The sequence below is a fragment of the Homo sapiens genome, chromosome 10, assembly GCF_000001405.40.
Source record: "Homo sapiens chromosome 10, GRCh38.p14 Primary Assembly".
Classification (NCBI taxonomy): Eukaryota; Metazoa; Chordata; class Mammalia; order Primates; family Hominidae; genus Homo; species Homo sapiens.
Window position 1 is genome coordinate 29566267 of NC_000010.11, and position 13496 is coordinate 29579762.

General features: G+C 40.9%; 1 protein-coding gene and 1 pseudogene across 4 annotated transcripts in view; one reads left to right on the plus strand and one right to left on the minus strand.

Moving 5' to 3' along the window:
* SVIL (supervillin) overlaps nt 1-13496 on the minus strand; it is a 279599-nt gene that overhangs the window by 108929 nt on the left and 157174 nt on the right. For all 4 annotated transcript variants that reach the window (NM_001323599.2, NM_021738.3, NM_001323600.1 and 1 more), the window contains one exon: nt 2989-3046. The gene's annotated coding sequence lies outside the window, so the exon portion shown is untranslated. The remainder of the gene's footprint in view (nt 1-2988; nt 3047-13496) is intronic.
* Nucleotides 9040-9115, plus strand: LOC124902571 (uncharacterized; annotated as a pseudogene).

Below are 13496 nucleotides of genomic sequence, written 5' to 3' on the forward strand. Positions count from 1 at the left end.
GTGTTTATAAAGTATTGATTTTAGAATCTGCAGCTTCCAGGTAAACATTTATTACTGAGTCCACACGGCTGTCATCACCCTCTGGTCCTGTCTCCGCTGCCTCTCTCCCCTGCTCCCGCTAAATGACTGGGGGCTTCTGAGAAATCAGATGAGCAGACAGGAGGAGCAGGAGCAGGCAGACTGGGCTGGAAAGTGTGGCTCTGGCTCAAGGCAGTGCCACAAGCTGTGATTAATGCAAGACCCCTCAAATCAACATGTGAAATCGAGTTTCTTTCTTTAAAAAAAATCATGTTTCTTCCCTGAACTTTCTCTACCCGAGGGCACCGATCATCAATGAAAACACAGGTAAGACATGCTTGTAAAATTCAGGACGGTTCATCAGTGAGCACCTTTTTTGGCTCATCTGACGCTGATGAAACACAAGCACCTGTGAGGGTCCAGACTCTTCTCTCCTCTCTGCTTCTTCTGACTCAGAGGCCCCCCAGCGGGAGACTGGTAGGGCCCATTACTAATGCACATGACCAGTGACCCCAAAAGCATGGAGCTCTCGGATGCTGGATCCTGCCCTTCCTCCTCAGTCACCCCTCAACCCCAACTTCCCCAGGGACAAAGGGGTGTCTGCAGGGTCAACCTCTGCAGGCCTTGGTGTCTCACTAGAGCTCAACCAAAAGTAAGAGCCTGTGTTTCAGTAGGGAAGCATCTCTCCATAGATACTAAAGTTAGTGCTGTCCACTTCATTTTCTGCATTTTGATTTTAACTTTCTAACAGTGAGAAACACCTTTTGGATTTTTTTCCAACTCTCTTTGTCTCCCCTGAAACAGTGCTCGTTCTTTAGGACTGATTGTTTGTGCCGCCACCCCCCTTCCTCTGCTTCTAAGAAGAGAATGCCCCCTGCTTCTGTGACAATTTTTCTTTTAAACGTGTCCCGTTAACCTACTTAAATGCCTGCCCATAGCAGCACGGGGGAATTTTATTAAAGGGAGAGCAGGATGCTCCGCTGTTATCATCTCTGTTTTTCACAACGTGGAATATGCTACTATTACAATGACTGTCCAGCACCCATGCGGTGTAAGTCTCCTCCACAATCTGTTCATTCCATTACTGAAGTTTAAATTACAAGATATGGGAGACGAAGCCCCATGAGCTCATATTTTCGTCTCTTTTAGCTGGTGTCTGGTTGACCAGATTTCTTCTAAGGAAGCAGGCTCTTGTACCTCCAGCCCATTTCACACTTAGCACCATGGCACACAGGCTGTCATTTTAATAGGTATGCATGACATAATGTCCATGATTTGAGAATAGCTGTGTCTCTTTGAGTCTCTGTCCACTGACGTGTGTGACTTTCATATTGCATGCTTTTCCTATCCTTGAATAAGGAATGCCTTCCTGTCTCTTTTTTCCTTAGTCACTTATTAGCTCCATGACAGTTAAACCAACCTGCTAGGGACATATTAGAGACCAAGCCGAGGCCAGGCGCAGTGACTCACGCCTGTAATCCCAGCACTTTGGGAGGCCGAGGTGGGTGGATCACAAGGTCAGGAGATCGAGACCATCCTGGCTAACACGGTGAAACCCCGTCTCTACTAAAAATACAAAAAAATTAGCTGGGCCTGGTGGCGGGTGCCTGTAGTCCCAGCCACTCGGGAGGCTGAGGCAGGAGAATGGCGTGAACCCAGGAGGCGGAGCTTGCAGTGAGCTGAGATCGCGTCACTGCACTCCAGCCTGGGTGACAGAGAGAGACTCCGTCTCAAAAAAAAAAACAAAAAAAAAAACAAAAACAGAAAGAAACCAAGCCTCAGATCCTATTAAAACATGGCCAAGATGAGAAATACGGATGCATCCCATTAAAAAAGTGACGTTTCGTGAGTCAGTTAAGACAACCTCACTGATGACCCTGGATCATCATTGCTCTAATTAACCTTGTACTTAGATGTGCCGCTTGATGATATTGTGTGTAAAAATTAAAGCATAAACACTTAAAAGATGTGGAGGAAATACACCAAGGATTTGTCCCATCCAGGGTGTTTACAAGATCAACTGCCATTTTCAAATGCAGAGCAGGCTCAGCCTGAGGAGGACAGGAGTTAGACCCCTGTCTATCCTAATGTTGTTGAAATGCAAACCCTTTTTGGTCAAGGAACAATGTCATAATACCTTAGGCACAAGAGCAACTGTGTGGAAATGGGGGCTGGGTCCTTCCGCTATAATGAAGCACAGATTGAGATCTTTGCCTGACTGCGTAGGGGACAACTTTGTGCCTCCATCTGAAAATATCAAACTCTATTAATATAGACAACAATCTACTAAAAAGCACCTGAGATACAGCTACTGTGTATGGCACAGGCATTCATTTCCACTTCTCTTACATCCATGATGATGTGTCATGGAGTTTTAGCACATTAGGTCAATCAAATTAGCACCCATAATATTCTGTGGCCAAGGGGACTGGAAGTTCAGAAAGGTTAAGAGAGAGAGTTGAGAAGACCAGGGAAGAATAACTCACATGGATGGGTGGATGGGTGGATGGATGGATGGATGGATGGATGGATGGATGTGTGTGTGTGTGTGTTTGTGTATGTGTGTGTGTCTATGGAAAAAGGGAGGGAGGGAGCAGAGGAAGGAAGGAGGAAGGGAGAAGGAAGAGAAACAAGTTTAAACCATTTCTAAAAAGAATCTAGCTCCCTTCTTTGATGGACAGATTGCAAAAGGACAGTGCCTGCTTAGAGGCAGGTGTGAGAAAGAAAAGATAATAGTCCTTTAAAAGTTTGCAATGACAAGAGACAGCAAGATTCTGTTCTCCAAATAGTTTCCATAAGCAGAATTAAATACAAAGATTCCTCTGCTTCATACATTTTAATAAATCAAATTCTAGAGAGAAAACATATTGCCAAACATTTAAACTCATGAGTTAGACATTCAAGAGAATAATTTTAAAAGCTACAACAAATCTTCAAAATTTCACAGTTGTTGAGACAAGGCCACTTTACCTTGAAACTTTCCTTTGACGTGGGAATCCAAGGAAGCTTAAGTTTTTCTTGTTGAAATCTAAGGGAAAAGAAATAATGTAACATTGAAATAGTTATGCAAATTGTTAAAAATCCGGTGAGAAAAAACTCTCCAAACTGCTTTTGAACATATAATTTAAGAAAAAGAAAACCATTAACCAGACAAAAAATAGAAATACAAAAATGACACCTTCTAAGAATCAAATTCCACATGGAAATTTACATAGGCAAGTTTTGCTTTTCTCTTCCGGAAAGTAGCCAACATACTCCATGGGTAAATGAAAATAATAACAACAATAATAACAATAATACTTCTAACACAGTTCAATGTTACCATTTAAATTTGTTATGGCAACAAGAATAACTCAAAGCAATTAAATGCTAAATAAGGCAGCTATATACTCAGGAATAGAGGAGAAACTAAGCAATTTTGGTCCAGGCAACTAGAAATGTTTGAGATGCCTTTAAAGAATGGGGGTGGGGTCTGAAGAGCAAAGGACAACTCAGCTGTGTCTTTTGCTCTCATTAAAATCTACACAATAACAACCAATAAAAATAACTATTTATTTGTATTTTGAAGACAAGATAGGTATTATGTAAAGACAGCTGGTAACAATTCTATACAGGAAAAACATCCCAAAGGAACAGGTTAATCAAAACCAGGCACAGACAAAATTTATAACCAGTCTAATGGCATGTAATCTGTTTTACAGCCTTTGGCTTACAGCATTTGTCCACTAAGAAAACCACAAATAGACCATTTACAGAAACTTCTTCCCCTAAGGAAGTGCCTTTTGCTCTTTAATATTTAGGGGCAGAAGCCCAAGGAAAAATAAGTACAAAATATATCAGATGTTGACACTTCATTATCCATCAAAATACATCCTCAGTCCTGGAATTTGGAACTGTGGCCAACTAAAGAAATACAATAAAATGAAAGGTATAATGCCAGTAAAACATCTAAGCTTTTCTCTTAACTATGCAAGTATCTTGTTATGTAATTAACCAAAGAGAAATCAATTCAGAAAGCTTTCAAGTGCTGTAGGAGAAAATTCCTGAATCTGAGGTCTGAATTGTTCAAGTCACTTCCCAATAGTGCATTTGAGCTGGAAAGCAGTTCTGATGTATAATGGCTGAGTTTCAAATATGATACTCAAAATAACCTTAGCGTTTCAGTTTTGTTCAATCAGTGAACTGAACATGCCACACCACTTCAGTAGTTACATTGAAAGCATGTATTTTCCTCTGTGCTGGAAGAAAGCCACTGAAAAGACAGTATCTTGTTCCAAACTGTCTCACATGAAGAGTTAATAAAAAGACGCTACTCACCACTGCCTACTGGAAATAATTTAGTATGTATAGCATTTGATTTAGAAAAATATTTTAGCTAAAGTGCAGCACATCTAGCATTTGATCCAAAGTGTGGGCATTCCAATTGCATTTGCAATTTTTCCTACAAAAAGGTTTCAGTGGTTTAGTAGTAACTTTAACTTATTAAGGGAAAACAAATTCACATTATCAGCAATCACAAGATAAGCTCATTTATAAACTCAATTAGATATTTAAAGTGTCTTTGGAGAAATGTGTATAAGTAACTGAACACAGGAGAATACATAGGGCAAAATAGAGGACCCCAGGCATTCATCGTGTTATACAATCCATACATAAGTGCATTTCGTATTTATCTTGCCTTACCTTGTTTCTCAGAGAATTTGAAAGCTCCCAAATAGCTGGAAAACCCTGGGCTTCTGAACATGGCTGCACACAGACGGCTCGGTCACACAGCCTGCTCTACAGCTAATTCTCAGCCAGCAACCACCTTCGTCTGGTCTAAGCAAAACTGGGTTGAGATTTTTCACAGTGCAGGACTAGAGCGACCAGGCACTTGTATCTTTGTGCCTATGGTACAGGAGAAGCAAGAGGCCACTGGCTGGAATAGCTCAGACCCCATAATCAGATTATGAACAGAAATTAAGCCTGGAGGCGCTGCAACAGACTGGAGCCCAGTGATGGGACGTGGGTGATGTAGATGACCAAGGCAAAGCCATGGAGCATCCCAGCATTTGCTCTGGTTAAGGAGACAGTGCTGCAACCTAACCATCCTCGGAGGAGTCAGATACAACTTCCTCTCCCTACGGACACACATACAAAGAAAAACCTACAGAGACCCTCGTGTATTGGGAAGAAGGGACGCTTGAGTATTTCCAGGCTGCTGCAAGTCTGGCTTTGGCTAAGTTAAGTGAAGTATTTTACCTAACAGAGAGCCAAAAACCCATACTTAAGATTTATGAACAACATATGAGTGAAACTGTGGGAAAAGAAAGGGCAGATATTACTAGAGATTCAAAATTTTAATTTGAGGTAGAAGCTATTAAGTTAAGCTTTGCCTATTAGATTGCCCCCGCTTAATTTTAACCACAATATGTAGTTGATGAGCTCAAGCAATGCTCATGCAATTCCAAGAAAAATTCGCAATAATTACAGACTGATTGTACAGAAAAACGGAACATTCAAGAGAACCAGGAGAAATGGTCTCATTTGCAAGCTAAGGAAATAGGGCTAGACGAGTAGCTTGCTCCTGGATAGACAACTGTTTGGTGATGGAGCTATGGGATCTTGGGGAGGCGGGATCAAAATTGTGATTCACCACACCCCACCTAGGAGCAGGGACTCTGAGTTACTCTTTGTATCTTTAGTTCTGGACACTGTACCTGGTGCACAGTAGGGCTGCAGGAAATGTTTGCTGAATGACCATAGGAAATCACAAGATAATCTCTTCTAAAAGCTAGAGATCTCCTTCTAAAATGGGTGTGTGGAGTTAGTATCCTGTGTTCAAACCAGGTGGACTTAGACTAATTTGTAAAATACAAACACACTTAAGGTGAAAATGAAGAATTATATGCTGAATTAATAAAGGCACATAAACACAAGGTACATCAACCCTGGGTACTAGAGGGGTCAGTGGTGGCATTTTTGCCATTTTTCTCTAAACTCATTACATTATAGTCATAAAATCAGGAAAAACTATGGCAAATAGGATAGTTAAAAAAAACTCAGCGAGGAACAACGTCAGTACCTTGGATAACTAAATTAGAAACTTGATGGTAAGGTCATAGATAATTAGCAACAAAAAGAAAAACGGGAGTGTTGGGAGGAGAAGAGGAAGGAGAGGAAATAGTAAAAGCAACTGATTCTGGAAATAAAGAGATGAACCAGGCATGGTGGCTGATGCCTATAATCTCAAAACTTTGGGAGGCCAAGGCAGGAGGATCACTTGAGGCCAGGAGTTCAAGACTGGTCTGGGCAACATGGTGAGGCCCTGTCTCTACAAAAAATAAAAAATGAGCTGGATGTGGTGGTACACACCTATAGTCCCAGCTACTTGGGAGGCTGAGGTGGGAGGATTGCTTGAGCCTGGGAGGTCGAGGCTGCAGTGAGCCATGGTTGCACCACTGCACTCCTGCCTAGGCAACAGAGTGAGATCCTATCTCAAAAAAAAAAAAAAAAAAGAAAAAGAAAAAGAAAAAAAGAATAGAGAGATAGGATGAAATAATATACATGTTGACATGTTGATAAATAATCCTTTATAAAGAATGTAACAGTTTATGGAACACAGTATCACTGCTCATCACCCTTTTTGTGCCTGAAAATTACTCTTCCTGTAGAATACTCAATTACAGTTATCTAAAAGAATCTAAATGTTTATTTTGAATTATTATTAAGGAATAAGTCTATTCTAATTTTTTTTCAAATTTTCCTGTCGCTTGCTTTTCCTTTTCTCCTTTTTTTTCAACATTTATTTTAGATTAAGGGGTATGTGTGCAGGTTTGTTACATGGGTACATTCAGTGATGCTGAGGTTTGGGGTATATGGGTCCCATCACCCTGGTACTGAGCATAGTACCCAATCATTTGTTTTTCAGCTCTTGTCCCCTTCCCGTATTCGAAATTTGAAAATAAAATTCCAGTACACATTTTTTTTAATTGTTGGGTATTATCTTTAAGTTGGTAACGGAGTCTTACCAGAATTCTTTGCCTCACCCATGGATTACGGTACAAAGCAAACTGATTTAAATATGACATAGTTGTTGAAAGGAAAAAGGCACAACATTCTTTATGAAATTATGGATATAAAATTTAATCTATTATTTAGGTATCCTATCCATAGGAAACCAAATAAGACTGTGAAGAAAAATCTCTATTTTATGTTCATAGAAAGTATCTTTGAAAAATTTTCATTTACTCTCCAATAATTATAATGAATTATTATTTTTAATTTTTCCACTTGACATTCAAGAATTATTACTACTATTATTATCATTATTGTTTTAGGCTAGCTTATTCACACAGGGGAGCTACAAAATACCCAAACATTTCCTCACGTCATTCTGTAGGTTAACATATTTATTTGCAGAGAAATTCTAAGTTGTGATTGTGACTTTTTTTTTTTTCCCGCTCTGTCACCCAGGCTGGAGTGCAATGGCATGTCTCTTGGGTCACTACAACCTCCACCTCCCGGGTTCAAGCGATTCTCCTGCCTCAGCCTCCTGAGTAGCTGGGATTACAGGCGCGCGCCACCATGCCCAACTAATTTTTGTATTTTTAATAGAGACGGGGTTTCGCCATGTTGGCCAGGCTGCTCTCGAACTCCGGACCTCAGGTGATCCGCCCACCTTGGCCTCCCAAAGTGCTGGGATTACAGGTGTGAGCCACCGCGCCCAGCCTGTGACTTTCTTAAATTTCAGGGAGAAGACGTTTTAACCGAGCGCTGATGGTGGTGTATTCCCTTTTCAATAGCATCACACAGCCACCAGCTCAGCATGAACGCACAAAGTTCCCTGCTGCTGTGTCCACTGAGAAGCACTAATCTTACTCAGGGGCAATGCTTTATGGAAGTACAATATTTTACTGAATATTTTTAAGGCTGTAATCTTTAAAGAGAAGTAAAAGCAAATACTGAAGTTGCCTTTAGATGGGCGTGCGAACCTGCTTTAGGAGAAGGGGTAAAACTGTGTGCCTGGGAGAGGCTGAGGGAGGTCACTGTCATAGCATGTCATGTAACATGGTCATGTCATGGTACACATCACACCACACCATGGTACATATGACATCGGGCCATGGTACATGCCATGTCATGTCATGGTACACGGGCGGTGGCTGGAGGAGACCTGAAGGATCTATGAGTGAACCATTGGGATGCTGACACCCCACAGTGATATCACTGGAACAAATGAATCAGGCCCTGGTGGACCCTGGTAAGACTGGAGACGAAGGGGCCTTTCTGATCACCTGGTCTTCATGTAATGAAATGTTAGATGACTCCTGTAGAATACTCAAGGTCACAAAGCTTGTGGCGTGGAAGTGCCAGGCTGAAAATCCACATGCTCTGACTCTCCCCAGGACAACTCCCACATTCCTGATCAGCCTGAGCACAAGAGAACCGGGGCCACTGTTGTAAACTTGTCCTGGATTGAGGTCATAGGGCCTCCCAGCCCTGGCCCACATGGATGTCGCTGGTAAAGGGGCCAGCCTGACCCCAGAAGGAGACATCAGGCCAGCTGCAGTTGTCTTTCATAAACCTTATGATTTCTAGGTCTAGTTTTGATCCCACAGACCTTGCTCGAAACCAGGGCTACCCCCAGATATGAGTAACTAGGGCATAGCTAAGGCCATAAGGCTCAGAGAGAAGTCAGTGTCCCTGGTGGGGTGTGGGTGTTGTGTATAAAAAGAAGCAATTGATTATTATTTTTCCTTTTCTTCCTAATTCTCCCACCTTACTGGAGAGGAATAAGATATGGATGTGGCTACTTTGAAGTGTGTAGGAAGCAATGACTCATTAATTCTATTTCTAAAAATGCACATGAAATTACTGTGAATGAACTCAAGGGTGTTTACCATTTGTATACTGATACCACCCAATTGTCTGGCACTGAAGATGTGGTGTCCAGTCCACTTTCCCACCAGTGTTTAAGGAAACCATCTCTCTTAAGCATATTTGATCTAAGTGTGCATATGCATATGAGTGCCATGGGCTAGGCCAATGCTGAATTATTATCTTGACGAGAAATGATGACGTAAAAATTAAGCTTAGTAGGATTACACTGAGGCCCAGCCTAGGTAACAATTGTGAGACAAGAAGTTTGGATTTCTTAGTTTCCTTCTGTGGAGACTTTATTTCAGGATTCTGGCAATGAAATATTTCTGTGAAACTTGTTTTGCACACTTCTATCTGTGTGCTTCTAAGTAAACTATAAATTCTGATTCTTTAAGTGTTTAAGTTTCCTATAATTCCTAATTTTCTTGGGTATTTGGCACTAAGACCCTTGCTCTCTTTCTCTCACTGGATGATTTAGTAAGCCCTACTGGTGCTATTCTATTGAGTGGAAGTGAGCGGCTACCTTTGCCGGCTGAAAAATTCCAAATAGATAATTGAACTAGTGAAGACTGAGCTCTATAATAATTACAATTATTCATTCAGACAACAAGAATATCATGACACGGTTTTCTCAATAACTGACAGACACATGTGATGGAATCCTCATGAGAAAATCCTTACTTTTTACCTAGGATTGATTTTTTTAAGGGTTGAGAAATATGACACATTGGAATTTTGCTCAATGCATTATAGTCATTGAGGTCTAAATACAGACTAAATTTTCTATAATATTAGTATAGTATTCTAACAGTGCTAGGATATGTTTTGATCACTGATGAATCTTTATGACTGAAGTACCCTTGCAATTGGGGTATAAATGTGAGTTACAATAATATGTGTTTTCCCATGAAACTTGAAATTGGATAAATTGATGAGCAATCTGGTACCTGACTTTTCTCTCCCGAATACGTTTGGCTTCATTTTCGTTATGATGAAAGTGTATGCTGTGAACGATGCCAATGGTAAATAAGACCTTTATGGACACTCATAAGAATGACAATCAGGGCCTTTCCTTCAGGCAACATGATTACCCTTGTGCACTCTTCTTCTCAATGAGTGACTAGCATACTTGATGGGATCTGCAAGAGGGAAAATTTACTTTTTACTAAAATTGCATTGATATAATGTTGACAAGGCTTGTGATTATTGGTATCATCTCTAAGAGGTGATATTCATTTGGTCTACATATAGAAGTTAACCTATTAACTTCTAATTTATATGTCAGGTTGCTATGTTTTTACAATGTTTGTGGTTTATTGATGATGACTCAGAACATAAAGACTATGGCATTATGGCGACATGTTCTAATTCTGATATATACATACCCCATCATTTATTAAATTAAATAAAATTATGAGTAGTATATCTTTTTCTGTCACCCAGGCTGAAGTGCAGTGGTGTGACCATAGTTCACTGTTGCCTTGAACTCCTGGGCTCAAGAAATTCTCCCACCTCATCCTCCTGAGTCTCCAGAACTACAGGCATGTGCCAACATGCCTGGTTAATTTTTGAATTTTTTGGTAGAGATTGGGTCTTACTATGTTTCCCAGGCTGATCTCCAGCTCCTGGCCTCAAGTAATCCTCCTGCCTTGGCTTCACAAAATGCTAGGATTACAGGCATGAGCCACCGCTCCCTGCTAGTAGTATTTCTTTTATTCTTTTTAACAATGCAAATGATTTTTTTTTGTTTTTTTAGACGAAGTCTTGCTCTGTCACCAGGCTGGAATGCAGTGGCGCGAGCTAGGCTCACTGCAACCTCTGCCTCCTGGATTCAAGCGATTCCCCTGCCTCAGCCTCCCGAGTAGCTGGGATTATAGGCACGCTCCACCATGCCCAGTTAATTTTTGTATTTTTAGTAGAGACGGGTTTTCACCATGTTGACCAGGAGGGTCTCGATCTCCTGACCTCATGATCCACCTGCCTCGGTTTCCCAAAGTGCTGGGATTACAGGTGTGAGCCACCGCACCTGACTGCAAATGATTTTTTAAATTTTAATAGTTTTTTGGGTACAGGTGGTTTTGGATTAAACAGATAAGTTTTTCAGTGGTGATTTCTGAGATTTTAGTGCACCCTTACCTGAGCAGTGTACAGTGTACCTAATATGTAGTCTTTTATCCCTCACTCCTCTCCCAACCTTCCCCTTAGAGTCCCCAAAGTCTATTATACAACTCTTACGCCTTTGAGTCCTCATAGCTTAGCTCCCACTTATACATGAAAACATATGATATTTGGTTTTCCATTCCTGAGTTACTTCACTTAGAATAATGGTCTCCAGCTCCATCCAGGTTCTTGCAACAGACATTATCTCATTCTTTTTTTACGGCTGAGAAGTATTCCACAGTGTATATATACCACATTTTCTTTATCCACTTGTTGGTCTGTGGGCACTTAGGTTGGTTCCATGTCTTTGCAATTGTGAATTGTGCTGCTATAAATATGCGGGTGCATGTGTCTTTTTTATATAATGACTTCTTTTCCTTTGGGTAGATACCCAGTAGTGGGATTGCTGGATTAAATGGTAGTTCTACTTTTGGTTCCTTAAGGAATGCCAATAACATTTCTTTACACCAACAACAAACTATATAATAAAGAAATTAAGAAATCAATCCCATTCATAATTGTATCAAAAAATAAAATAGTTGTAAATTTAACCAATTAGATGAAAGATCTGTATACTGAAAACTATAAAACATCGATGAAAGAAATTATAGATGACTCAAATAAATGGGTCCGTGAATTGGAATAATTAATATTGTTAAAGTTAATGGACCCAGTTGCGTATACATTTATAAATGTGTATTTGTGTATACATTTATAAATGTATAAAATGGGAATTAGTCTACCTGGGGTGCATATAGAAGACTGGGTAAATCAATTACACGAGCAAACCAGGGTTGAAACTCCATTACTGATTTGAAAAATTTTAAATATTATATTAGAGATGCACACACACCTAATCAGAATGACAGGAAATAAACCAAGACATTAATTCTCTCACAACTCAGAGATAACTCTGTTCATGTGTTTTCCAAAGTAACTTCTCTATTTTCCAAAGTATCCACCATATGCACGATTTCCTTCTGTAATTGCAAAACAATTAAATACAAATGAAGATGAAGGCAATAAGACCTCTTAAATCCCCAAAGCTTAGACATAGGCTAAAAATCCAGGAGAAAATCCTGGCATGAATGAATGGCGCCTATGGCTCAAAATCAGCCTGCTCACTTCTTCCAGCAGATGCATTTTCTTGGCTGTAAATTGAGGAGTTGGTCTAGATGGTCACCAAGATCCTTGATAACAGGCACCAGTGTTGCTTAACCTTGACACCAGGTGCGCACAGAAGAACCTTGCCCTGCCTACCAACATTGAATTCACCTGTTAAATCCCCTTCCTAAATGTTCTTCTTTATTACCAATCACACCTTTCCTGCTCAAAAGCCTTTATTGTCTCCTAGCTAAAGGATTATAAAAACTGGAGAGACAGCACGTGATGCACACTTCCGGGTGCATTTCTAGCACAGAGCCTGGCTCAGAACAAGTAAACTATCAATACTGCTTGAATGGATCAATCAATCAAATGGGCAGGCAAGCACTGAAATCACTTCTATCCTTAAATTTCTCCCATTCTTAGCCAACCACATTTCTTGAATAGTTTGCAGAGAGGAAAAGTATTACTTCTCTTTCCTCAGCCTGAGACTATTACTTAAAGTCTTCTTGTCTTTCCTAAAATCTGAAGCCATGATGTGAAACAGAAATATTTGCATGTAGGGAGAATCAGGAAGAACATGCTAAAGATTCGCTGGGGAAACTGGAAGTATCTTATTATGCTCTATTTCACCTACTTCGTTACTATGTGTATTCCTAGTTTTCTTCAGAACAATGTGTTCATCTGAGTTCCTGGGCATCTAACAGGATTTCTGAGCTAGGCAAAGGTAAAAACGGGGACAATGGGCCAGGCACAGTGGCTCACGCCTGTAATCCCAGCACTTTGGGAGGCCGAGGCGGGCGGATCATGAGGTCAGGAGATCGAGACTATCCTGGCTAACGCGGTGAAACCCCCTCTCTACTAAAAATACAAAAAAATTAGCTGGGTGTGGTGGCGGGCGCCTGTAGTCCCAGCTACTCGGGAGGCTGAGACAGGAGAATGGCATGAACCCCAGAGGTGGAGGTTGCAGTGAGCAGAGATTGCGTCACTGCACTCCAGCCTGGGTGACAGAGCAAGACTCCGTCTCAAAAAAACAAAACAAACAAACAAAACAAAAAACAAAAAACAAAAACGGGGACAATGATTCCTGCAGTCCAACTATTGACAATGTCTCAGTATGAGTCCAGGTGAGACGTGTCACCTCCCAAATTGACAAGGTCAAAAGCTAAGGCGTTAGATGACAGTCACGGTATTAAACCTTCAGGGACTGTGTAGCGCAGGTCACAGCGGCAGCTCAGACTTACAGGGAGGCTATTTGGGGAGTCAGACGCTGTCACTTGTTCTGGCTGATGACACACAAGCACCCCTGCAACGCTGTCCTTTGAGGCAACTCTCCTTTGGGGGCCATCATC